Source organism: Homo sapiens, chromosome 5 (genome assembly GCF_000001405.40).
Source record: "Homo sapiens chromosome 5, GRCh38.p14 Primary Assembly".
Lineage (NCBI taxonomy): Eukaryota > Metazoa > Chordata > Mammalia > Primates > Hominidae > Homo > Homo sapiens.
Window position 1 is genome coordinate 19,734,300 of NC_000005.10, and position 13,454 is coordinate 19,747,753.

At 34.8% G+C, this 13,454-nt stretch overlaps 1 protein-coding gene across 20 annotated transcripts in view; it reads right to left on the reverse strand.

Annotated features, from left to right (window-relative positions):
• Positions 1 to 13,454, reverse strand: part of CDH18 (cadherin 18) — a 1,104,418-nt gene that overhangs the window by 263,004 nt on the left and 827,960 nt on the right. For all 20 annotated transcript variants that reach the window (XM_005248228.5, NM_001349562.2, NM_001349556.2 and 17 more), the window contains one exon: positions 12,643 to 12,937. In XM_005248228.5, coding sequence (XP_005248285.1) covers positions 12,643 to 12,937 — 295 coding nt within the window. The remainder of the gene's footprint in view (positions 1 to 12,642; positions 12,938 to 13,454) is intronic.

The following is a 13,454-nucleotide window of genomic DNA, read 5'->3' on the forward strand; positions in this document are numbered from 1 at the left end:
TCTTTCCAAGCTTGTTGAGTACCCTTCTATTTCCAAAGCAGGAGTAACTGCATCAGAAGAGGGGACTTGTGATATTTGTCTATTGATAAGAACTGTTTTCTTTTATTTTGTTTTTGTTCCCCTGTGATATGGACGTTTTGGTTTACTGGAAGTTAATTTCTGCTTAATTCTTGTGTCACAATATTCCTTTTTTGAGCCATCCTCAGAAAAATTCACCAAAGGCCTTATGGTAGAATAAAAATATTTTTTCTCGGATTGCACAGATTAAAAAAAGACTCTTCCTTGTTTTGAAAGCTTCAATTTAATAAGTTGTCCAGGTGTCTTGTATTTACAAGGACTTTCTTGGACAAGATAATGTTCTCCTTTAATGTTTAGGGCTATACATTTGATCTATTTCCCAGTGCTGCCCACCCCCTGCCCATTAATCCAGTTTCAATGTCTTCAGTGCTCTAGGAATTTTTGGAATCTCTTATCCACTGTTGGTACCCTATCTTATTATTGTGGTTTCTTTTTGAAATATTTATGGTTTCTTTTTGGTGTATGGTCTCTGACATGTCAAGGGGTGATATATCAGAAAGATATATCTAAGTGTAAGTTATATTGCAATAACAAACAAACCCTAAATTTTAGAGTCTTTAAGCAATAAAAGTTGATTTCTCACTCACATACTCTGAAATGTGGTTGGGCTGGTGTGGCTTTGTTGCAAGCTGTCCTCCCTCGGAGGCAAATGCTGCTGAGTCACTACCCTCCATAACACAGGTGAGTGTTTGCAAAGCATCTAACCAGGTAAATAAAAGTATAGACAGTAGAATATTATTGGCTCACTACATTATATAAATGTATATTTAAGACAGAAAGTTAAACATGGTGGAACAGAGTCCATGAAATGTCACTTGGTTCTTTATGTCACTAAGTTCTTTATGTCGCTGTCAATTGGTCTCAGTGGTTGCTTTAATCACATGGAATCTGATCCCAGTGTATTTTTAGTTATAAAGCAGTCGCAACATAAGTGCTGCTCTTATATCTCTTTGCTGAAAAGACAATAGGAAACCACTCCCATTCAATCTCTTTTTGTTCAATGTATTGATGATATTGGATTTTTTTTTTTTTTTTTTGAGACGGAGTCTCGCTCTGTCGCCCAGGCTGGAATGCAGTGGCGTGATCTCGGCTCACTGCAAGCTCCGCCTCTGGGTTCACGCCATTCTCCTGCCTCAGCCTCCCAAGTAGCTGGGACCACAGGCGCCCACCACCACGCCCGGCTAATTGTTTGTATTTTTAGTAGAGATGGGGTTTCACCATGTTAGCCAGGATGGTCTCAATCTCCTGACCTCATGATCCTCCCGCCTCGGCCTCCCAAAGTGCTGGGATTACAAATGTGAGCCACTGTGCCCAGCCGATACTGGATATTTTAAGTTAGAGAAGTCACACCTATACTTCGTAAGAAAAATAAATACAAGTCCAGTGCTATTTCTCTTAAGGAAGGCAACCTGAACATTGTCTTGCCTGCCTTTCTATAACTCTATCTCTGTTCATTCAAAGGGCTCTAATATAGTTTCATGCATATATACATACACTAAACAAAACACTGTGCATTTTTACCCCACCCAATAATTTTTCATGGATATCTACATGACAATTATGTAAAAGATTATTTTTTTGAAAATTCAGGTAATTTAATTGGAGGAAAGAATTAAAAGAATTTTAGAAATAATTGGATGAGACATTTATGATTTGAGTATTTATGACAACTATGAAAATTAAGTGAACAATTTAAGTTGGTATCTCTGAATAAAGCACTTGAAATAATGGACCAGAACATTTTTATTAAGATACAACACAAGAATTCAAAATCCACTAATAAAGAACACTTGAACGTAACAATTAAAATTTTGTTCAGTGTGGGCAACATTGTAAAACCCTGTCTCTAATAAAAATACAACAATTAGCCGGGCATGGTAGCACACGCCTTTAGGTGGGAGGCTGAGGAGGGAGGATCACTTGAGCCTCGGAGATCAAGGCTGCAGTGAGCCATAATCGTGCTGCCACTGCACTCTAGCTAGCCTGGGGGACTGTCTCAAAAAAATATAAAATTATAGACAGCTTCACAGGTGGGGGAGACATGACACAGAAGAATCACTACGGAATAATATTCTAGTAAATTATTGATCTTGAAAGATAAATAATGATATCTTCTTTTGTAATATATATTCTTATATAATTAAAGTAATAGATGTTTAATATAATTTCTGTAGCTATCTTACATTCCACGTTGCTTATTGTTGCATAGTTATATTTTTCTAGTTTTTTTGTGTGTGTTTGTTTTCTATACTACGTAATAAATTACTACAAACGTTGCATATAACAAAAGCTATCACATTTGGTTCTATGTGTGGGGGTGCTTTTTTCTTGGTATCTACATGGACTGTTGTGATAAACTTAGAGAGTAGCACCGCTTTTATGAAAGGTCGCAACTTCCACAATATTCCATGGTGTCTCTGTGTGGCACAGCAGGAGAAGATTTAAATTGGCCATTTAGCTTGTGCAGGACAATAATATCCAAACTGGATTTCAAAGTTTTCTCCTTGCCAGAGTATGAGTACAAGAAAATTTCTCTATATACTAAAATAGGAAGTGAAATTGGCTGAGAGAAACTCAGAGGATTTCAAGAAGATGTGCAATTATGACAGAGAGAATGAATTCATGATGATCAAGGACTGATCAATGAAAACCAGTGAGAACACAGAAGTCTGGTAGAAAGCAGTAGAGACCTGTGATGGCACTGCCAGTCCTCTTCCACATGCGGCCTTCTCTCTGCGTGATGTGCCCTCACCTTCTACCTTCACAGTGTTTTTTTTCTATATCCAATTGCTGTGTCTCCCCTCTATACCTGACCATTGTGCATTCACTCTCTATCTGATCATGGTGAATTTTCTCTACACCCAATCACTGTGTAGTCATTCTATACCCAATTGCTGTATCTTCTCACTATATCTGATGCTATACTTTCTCTCTAAACCTGATCATTTTGTCTTCTGTCTATACCTGACCATTGCACCTTCCAGCTATACCTGATTGCAATGTTTATATCTGACTGCTGTGCCATTTTCACTCTATGCCTGGTCACTATGCCTTGACCATAAACCTGGTCATTTTGTATGTGTGTGTTTTTTTCAGATTACTTGGTGCCTTCACTCTATATCTAATCACTGGGCCTATTCCACATCCCTGACATTGAGCTTTCTCTCTGTGCCTGATCACTGAACATTCACTGAACACCTGACTCCTAGGAAATGGACAAAACTATCCAAAATTATGCCCCCCTACCAATAAAATTATCCAAACAGAATTAGAAATCAGGTTCAATTAAAAGTGAGGGGGATTATCACATATCCTGATTGTTTAAATAAAATAAAATTTCAGTATATGTCCTAATACAGTAATTTCAGCATTTGCTTAAAATCTTTTTCAACTTATAAAATGATACAAACAATTTTAATTTATATGCTTTGATTAAAAGATAGGGACAACAACATCGACTGATTAATATTTTTAGTGATACTTGAATGATGACAAGTATCAATTTTGAGATTTTTTGCTTTATTCTATTTCCTCAGTAAGAAAGAAACAACATAAATTGTTATTATTAGGATCTATATATGTGACATTCCAGTCAATTTATGTAATGAATAAGAATGATTCTAATGAGAAAATCGATTCATGAATGGATATGATAAATATAGAAAAAATGTCACATTTAAGAATAGCTCTGTCTCTGTGAAAATGTATATAATTTGGGTTTACTCATTCTATACATATTTTATTTATTACCTATTTAGTTTTAGACACTTTGTTAGGTGCACATGATACTGAGATTTTTAAAATATATTTTTAAGGGACTACGGACCACTATAATATCAGGTGATTTCAAACTAATTTATAAGTAAAGGTGGAAGGTGCTAAAATAATAAGCCAAGGTTGCTCTAAGATCAATTGTAGTAAATATTTTGCTGTTTATTTTCTTTAAAAAAGACATTCTCTACTTTAAGAGAAGTGCTACATTCCAAAGCCAAATTATATACCTCAATGATCCATTGATCACTGCAATAATTTCACTTATTATATTTTTTAGAATTACCTACACAAAACCTGCCTCTTTAAACTGCCAAGAATCTCTGACTGGTTTGTTTTGTGTTTCAGTTTTCTACATTGAGGCCTATACATATGAAAGTCATTCTTTGGCTATCATATTTTTTAAAACATGATGTACCAATTAAATCTGTATGAATGTGGTACAATTTATGCAGAAAAATATGTATCTTCTAGTTAAGTATTTTCTCTTGCAAATTGACCAGTTTTATTAGGGAATTCCAAGTCTGGCCTACATTCATAAAAAGTAAGTGGTAAGAGGGTAACCATGTACTCTGGGGCCTACCAATGGGCAGAGGGTGGGAAGAGGGAGAGGATCAGGAAAAATAACTAATGGTTACTAGGCTTTATACCTGAATGACGAAATAATCTATACAACAAACCCCATGACACATGTTTACCTATGTGTCACATAGGTATATGCACATCCTGTTCATATACCGTTGAACTTAAAATATAAGTTTAAAAAAAGTAAATGGAAAGACTGAGGAATCACTTGAAGAGTAAAATGCAATCTAGTAAATCACATCAATCATTGAATAAAAGTTAAAAACTATGTTGGTTTATTGGGCCTTTCTTTAATTTACAACAACGAAGTTAAAGATATATAAAATAAATAAAAAGAATCTTTACCCAATGAAACAGATATTGGAACAATTATGTTCCAAAAATTAAGAGCCAATATTTCTAAGAAATCTTTCCTCTAGACGTAATTGTAGGTGGAAAAGGTTGTCATGTACTTGTTCAATAAACATTTAGAGAATATCTTGCTTCAAGTGAGGGGATACAATAACAGAATGCAGCAAAAGTGGAAAAACAGAACTTCTGAGACTCCTCTCTAAAACCCTTAATATTTTTGCTCTTATCCTCTTGAACTACTGCCCTAAGAATGCACACAAAGCAGGTCCCTACCTGGAGGATGAGATACCATGGATCAGAGACAAGCCACCCAGCTAAGACCCCAGAAAAACCAGCTGGTAACCAGCATCCACCACTGCAGGTGAGGGAGGCACCTGCGCTGTTCGAGCTCCTAGATGACTACAGCGCAATGTATGACCCTAGTGGAAGAGCAGCCTGGACCACCGAATTATGAGCAAATAAAGCAAATATTGTGTGTGGCCACTAAACTGTGGGTGGGTTGGTTTGTACAAAACACAAGCTAACTTACACAGAAGAATAGTTATGCAAATAAAGAAGAAAATTATGAAACTTGCAAAATTTTGTCTACTTTCTGGTTTGTCAGTTGTCCAATGTGTCTCTTCATGAATACTGCAATGTTCCATGTAGAATTAGAGTGCTGGCTGTGCTTTATTAAAATGATACCATTCTGAACATTATGCCCCAGGGTAATGATTTTTAAATGGCTACTAGAATCTTGGCAGATGTCCAGGGTGAACATCCCAAGATATTTGGCAGAACTAAATCAGCGCTCCAACAAGAAGCACAATAAAGTCAGCACAGCTGGTGTCTCTTCTTGTTGCTCTGCAGCAAGAAACACAGCTGCAAATGGAACAGCCTGGGGCCTTAGAGATTGGAGGTGAAAAAAAAAGACATGAAGAAGATTAGAGATGTTTCAATACATTTCCAAGAAAAAGGAACTTTGCAGTTAAACAATCTCCTTTTTGTAGCTGCAAAAATAAGTTTGTTATATTGAACCTACAGTTTATTAAATGTATACTTATAATTCTGTTAAAATATAATATTTATTCTCTCTCATACATTAAAAAGTACTATTTCTATAACCTGTTACTACCTGTTAAATGCTTTTAAATGGTATTTAATGATAGGTATACTAATACACAGAAGAGTTAAAAATTTGTACATTTTCATACAGAAATATTTATTTGAAAAAGAAAATAGTAAAGTTTATGTTCTGCCAAATTACATTGTGATCTGTTATATGATCTTTTTGAAACAACTTCTAGATTTAAAACATTTAAAAAAAAATGACTGCAATAGAAACAAATTTCAGTTAATACAGTTATAGAAACTCCTGATTCTAGGTGAAAGCAAGACTGTAATTGCAGAAATTTGAGAATGTCTCCATAAAAAGAGAACAGATAAAATTATTCTTGTTTTAAATAAAAGAGATACGATACACACAATTAAGACAAACACCTTTACCAGCTTTTTATTGCTAATTTTATGTCTTTGTATTATTGCTAAATTTCTTAGTGAGTTATGATGTGCTTTTCATGTGAAAAGTGTAATACCATTTACAAATACATTTTTATTCATCTTAATTTCTAAAATCATTCACTTGACAGCTAACTCAAAAACCAAGTATCATTTCATCTCATGGTCATTTTCATCTTTGTATTGTGATAAACACATTAACTCATTATCTCATATTTTAACTGTCGGTTCTGAAGACTATATAAATTAGGCATGTAATGTAACTATAGAGAAAGAAATTGAAGAAGTAATTCCATTAAATAATTGATAGAAGTTGGTAAAGATCAAGACTGACATGATAATGTACTGCATATCACAAAAAAAGGAAAATTTAAAATCTCAAATTTGCATTGATCAAATATGTACATCTATTATGGATTAATCCAGGTTACATTTGCCCGCAATAATGTTATAATGCCATTCTGTTCACATATGTTTACTGTTGAAATTATTTAGATAAATATGTATAGTGTATGCGTATATATATACTTATCTATATGTATACATGTAAATATACATGTATATGTACATCTATGTCATCTATGTATATATGTATATATGTCATCTATGTATATATGTATATATGTCATATATGTATATATACATGTATATATGTACATATATGTATGTATATATGTATACATATATACATATATACGTGTATATATACATACATATATGTACATATATACATGTGTATATACATGTCTCACACACACACACACACACACACACACACACATATATGACAGCCAGTACCTTACTAGGAACCAAACACAATTCAAGTGGTCTTCTAAATGCAGGCTATACAATACACAATTTTTTTTTTAATGAGAGCCATCATGGCTCCCAAGTAGCCACGCCATTACTCTTCCTTTTATGGGTGCAAATAACTTCATTTTATTCTACGACTTTCCTCAGTGTTTTCATACTATTGTGCACTTCAAGATGACAATTAATATTTAAACACTGCAATTTCTTACCTAGCCAGATAGAACATATTTTTGTTTTAAAGTTCACGGCATGAGCATTCTGGCACTATGAAAGTCTCTCTGGACAGGATTATAAATTTAACAAATATATTATTCAATTTGTGTTTCTACTTTGACATTTTTAATTCTTTATATTGCATGTTCCCTAGGGCAGTAGTTCTTAACTGACAGCATTTTTGTCACCCAGAGGACATTTGGCAATTTCTGAAGACACCATCACTTTGTGGTTGTGGGAGGAACACCACCGCATTTATTAGGTACAGGCCATGACTGCTACTAAACATCCTACAAGGCACAGGGAAGACCCTCACAACAAAGAATTATCCAGTCCAAAGTGTTAATAGTGGAAAGATTGAAAAACTCGTTCCTAGAAGAATATAATTCCCTAGATAATGGGTGAAATTACATTATATAGATCAAAAAGATACATGCAAATCTTACATTAAGACATGCTTTAGAAACCACTTCAGTTTATTTTTGCATCTTTCTGTACTGAGCTATCCAAAATGTCTCAGACTTTGTCGGCAGATTATTGCCCACCGACAAGAAATATACAACCACATTATGCTTTTCTCACTGGCAATATAGCGCAGTGCAATTACTTGGAGTGGCTCCATAATCATTACTTAGCAAGAGATGCAAGAAACAATAATCTGATAAAATCTTACACACCAAGGAAGTCTCTGGTACTGCCTTTTCTGTATTCTTGTGACATATTTGCAAAGCTATATAGAAAATCTATTATTTGCATGATCTTCCTATTTCCCCAAAACACACAAATGCACACGCATGGGTACACACACACACACACACACGGACACACATCCCAAGCTGGACTATTTTTTTTTAATCATTTTATCCTGTATGTCAAATGTCCATTTATTTTACCTTTTCTAACAGATAAATCACCAAGCATTATTTAAGATTCACTGAGGACGTCTTCTCTCATCCACAAGCAGGGCCCCCTGTCCAAGTCTACGGTTCCCCTATTGGTGCTTATCAGACACCATATTGAAATTTTCTATTTGTAAGTCTGCAGTTTGCTCAAAGATAGTGGTCTTGTTTCATTAACCATTTTATTACTAGCCACTATCACAGCTCTCAGCACATAAAGTGCATTTACTCTCTCTCTCTCTCTCTCTCTCACTCAAGAAAGAATTGAATAAATATAAGGAGAGAGATTGTTTTAATGATTCAAAACTGAATTAATGAGTATATGATAAAAAAAGTAATTTTATCAGGCCCCATACGTTGATAAAAATTTTGTTGTCACCTGCTTACATTATTATTAGTCTTCAGTTAGCATTAGAAACCAGTACATTTTTAAGTGTTAGTGTTATAAAAATGATTTTTATTACATATTTAGAACCACTTATTCCTTTCATACCAAATAAAGCCACAACCTAGTGTTTAGAAGCAAACCTTCAACAATGTGTGTGTGTCTATTTCCTTTAGATATCTTCTGTGCATGTACATGCATATTCTGCAACACAGCTGTATTCTCTAACAAAACTAGGCTATCTTAGTATCACAGAAGGGAAGCCTGGATAGTCATTAGATAACTAACAGTATCTACCCAAAGGGAAGAAGCATGATCCCATATATTTGTAACAAACGCTATATTTCTGTCTATATGTATATAGTCCAGTAGGGCTGGCAGAACACTAACTGCTATAGATCAGCAGATACCTTGTCTATCAAAACTATGACACCATCCTCTAATTGTTCCTTGCCTCTGATCTCCCTATAATAGCTTACAATAAAGACTGACAAACTCTTTTTTTTAATAAAAGATAACACTGTAAATATTTTGGGCATTGTGGGCCAGCGATATGACCTTCTTCCCAAACATCCAGCTCTGCCATTGCCGTGCCAAAACTACCACAGACAATCTTCAAGTAAAGGAGTGTAACTGTGTTTCAATAAAAGCACAAAAACAGAGAGCAGGACAGATTTGTTCCCCCTGCCATTGTCTGCAGATCTTTGCCTATAATATCATCAACTTTTTGTTTCTAAAATCAGAGTTGGCCAGACACAGTGGCTCACACTTCTAATCCCAGCACTTTGGGAGACCCAGAAGGGCGGATCATTTGAGACCAAGAGTTCAAGACCAGCCTGGCCAACATGGCAAGACCCCGTCTCTACTAAAATTACAAACTTTAGCTGGGCCTGGAGGCACACGCCTGTAATCCCAGCTATTTGGGAGGCTGAGGCATGAGAATTGCTTGAACCTGGGAGGCAGAGGTTGAAGTGAGCCGAGATCATGCCACTGCACTCCAGCCTGGGCGGCAGAGTGAGACTCTTGTCTCAAAAAAAAAAAAAAAAAAAAAAAAAAAAAATCAGAGTTAATGAAAATATCACCCATTCTTATGAACACAATATAAAGTGAGTTTCTCCCTCCACTTTCATATCATCCTCTATGCATTCATGTTACAATATCTATTATATGTTATTACCATGAATGCTATGTATTTGTTTTCCTATAGTAATGAGTGTATATATACACACACACAAACTTACTGATAAAATATAATTTCCAATATTCAGCTTAAGGTTTCCCATAAAATAACTCTTTCAATAGAATCTTGCCTGAAACCACAGTAGTACAGAGAGTTGAAACTTACTCTGTCTTGTTCTTTTTCTCTACTACTTTCAGATATTAAATTTTTGTCCCTCAACCATACTCATCTCAGTAAGAGAACTTAAGAATATTAACTTTTCACTATTCTCATCTTTCTTCCCAAACCCCAAATGAGGACTTTGACTTGTTCCCAAGTCCTCAACTCACAGCCTTTTCTGCAAAAATTACTTTATGCCTTATGATTCTCACATAGATTATGTGGCATCCTTTTACAATATCTCAAAAATATCCATTTGTATTAACTCAGTGTACACACACACACACACACACACACACACACACACACATCTATTCCAGAGTTCACTGTTGATAACATTTTTCCTCTCTGTTATTTTCCTTGACTTTTAGATCTCTGTTCTGATTTATTTCAACTATTTTCAATTTCAACTGTTGATCTTCCAGATCCTTCTCCAAATATTTATTTTGCCCTAGCTGATGGATCATATTTGTCTAAACAATAGATTTGGGGCTTCAGTGTTTTCTCTGTAGGCCGTAAATGGGACTCAACTTTCTAACAGATTCCTCTATTTCATGTAATAAATGTGAGGGTAACATATTCATTTTTATTCACACCTAATTTTTAAAAATCTGAATGTTTTTAAATTTTTCTCTTTTTATTAGGCTTTAAAACTTTACCAGGATTTTCCTATGTTTGATTCTTATTCTATTTACTCTTCCTGGAACTTGGAAAGTCTACTAAACTTGTAAAGTCAGTATATTATTCACTTCAAGAAAAATTATGATTGCTCCTTTCCCCCATTTCCTCTTTATTTTTCTCTAAGGACACATGTTATTCACATGATAGGTCTAATGAATATGTTCTCTAAATCTCCTTTCTTTTTCCCACAATATCCACAATTTTATGTTTGTTTCTGTGGCTACTAGCTACTTCTTCCAGTCAGTTATGATTTTAGGTACCAGGACAATAATTCAGGTCTAATCAGTTACCATTCATGCCTTCAATCCATATATTGACTTTCTTTGTTGTTGTTATTTACTTATTTGTTTAAAGCAAAAGGCTTTGAGTTACAGAAATCTGTTTGTGGCATCCATAAAAGCCCTCCAATGCTCGTATTGGCTACTGTTTAGTATACTGTCTTCCTGGGTAATGCCTGCTCTGCCTGTTTTTCTCTCTAGTGCTTTAACCCCTGTGGTTATGACAGTTTCCTTTGTGCTCCTTGGGGCCCTTACTTACCTTGGAAATAGCTCACCAGGAGCACTCTCACAGGTGGGAGCACCATAGAGCTCGTTGCCTTCCTAAGGCAGAGGAGATTAGGTTTGTGGGTATCAGTTCCTTGATGTGGCAGAGAGAATTCTGTCCTTGAGTTCCCATGCAAACTCTCACCCACCAGGGTTAAAAAATGCTGAAGCCTTTAATTCTCCCTCGACTCTCCTTGGAGATCAATAAGCCCGACAGTATTCTGGGCCTCTCTTAGGCTCCTGCAGGCTGGTTCCTGTGTTCTGCTGGGGTCCAGAGGGAACGAGTTTGGCAACTGCTTTCTCCTCTGAGACTTCAGCTAAGGAAGAAGACCTCACTCTCTTCCTTACCTGCTCCTACAGCAGCTGCAGGAGCTACCTGCCTAGCTCAAGAAGACTAACATGGGCTGGAATCTGGAGTTGAGAGAAAAGATGCTACCATCTTCCATTTTTAAAAAATATATATACATATATATACATATACACATATATATATTTCAAATTCACAGACTGATTTGATTAGTGACTAAGTGACTATAAGAACCTCAATCTAAAACAATACTCATACATATGCAGTAAAATTAAATATATTAAATCTTTACTCAATAAATGTGTTACAAAGCTTAGAGTCTCATAAAGATAGTCGAAAAGTATTATCGTAGAAGAACCATTTTTAAACTACTTTTTAAAAAATCATCCCATGAAATGAAAAATAAACAAAAATAAATTCAAATAGCTACACCACAGAAACCAGTGAGTGGTGAAAAAGCCCCAGATCATTAGGGTGGCTCAGGTCCTGGATCATGGTTCTGTTGGCTGCAGTGTAGGCTTTGCATTCAGCTAAACCTGGAAAAATGCCTCCTTGGCTATTTTCTAAATATGTGAATTTGCAAAAGTGACTTAAATACTTTATGCCAGTTTGCACATCTTAAAAATGATATTCAAAATACTTCACGGGGCTGTCATATATTTTTAAATAAATAAGGTATATAAATGCTTAGGAATATCTGAAAAGTTGTATTGATTAATGTAGCAACAGCTATTAATGGTATTATAATTTGGTCATACACTGAAAGCTTAAAAGACCTGGAGACAAAAATTTCAGACATTCTAGAATCTTTCTTCTCTGCAAATAATCAAATTGAATGTGCTGGTATGTTCTTAACAATATACATGTAGAATTCACGTGATAGAAGAGCCATATCAATTAAGCAAGTATTCCACGTGTTTTCAAATTTATACATGTTTCTTTCCCCTTGAGATCCAACTATTACCTACACTTACATGATTAGAAATCAATTTCAATGAATATAATTGCTAGACCCAATAGTCTTTAACACTTTATGCCACAAAAAATACTAAAATATTTTGAAACTTCATATTTATATCCCCTCCAGATATATATATATAAGTAAAAATTGGTATTCTAAAGATGACTTTTTGATTTTCTTAATATGTTAATTGCATAATCACAAAAATGATTTTTCTTACCCATATCTGACATTTCAGGCACAGTAACAATGTATGGTCCATCTGTGAATTTTGGAGCGTTGTCATTGATGTCTTGCACTTTGATGATGAACTCGGATTCAGGCTCAAGAGGTTTGTTTGTACGTCTATCAATAGCTTGAGCATGAAGCACATAGTGGGTCTTCTGCTCTCTGTCTAGGCTTTTTGTTGAGTGGATATCACCCGTGGTATCGTCAATGATAAATATAGTCCCAGCACCCTCTCCAGTAAGGATGTACTTGACAGATCCATCACCTTTGTCAGAATTGGAGTGCAGCTGTGAAATACACATGGAATAATTTAGCATATATTTATATTCCAACCTCACATTATGTTCTCTGAAAACTCCCTATCTATAATTACTTTGGCTATGACTTTTCTTCCCTTTACAGTGCCCTGTGTGTTACTACTATCATTTGCTTTTCTGCAGTTTTTTTTTTTCACTTGGTTAATCATATGGATATTGCTATCATGGTTTGTCTAAGAGATACAGTTATTGATCTAAGAAAAAAACAATAAATAATATTTATTAAAACAAAAATAGCCCTTATAATTTTACTAAATCCACATTCCACTAACTGCCATAAAGTTGGGAAAATAAATTCCCAGTAGATTATTGTTGCCTTCCATACTTGTGAAAATAATATATTTGGTTTTAATTATTTGACATTCTATTTCAACTTTATGACTAGAAAAAAAATATATGGTAGGACAAATTGAGGTTCAAATTAATTATTAAAATTTTCACAAAAGAGGCACATATTTAAGTCATAGTCACAGTCATGTGTTTAATA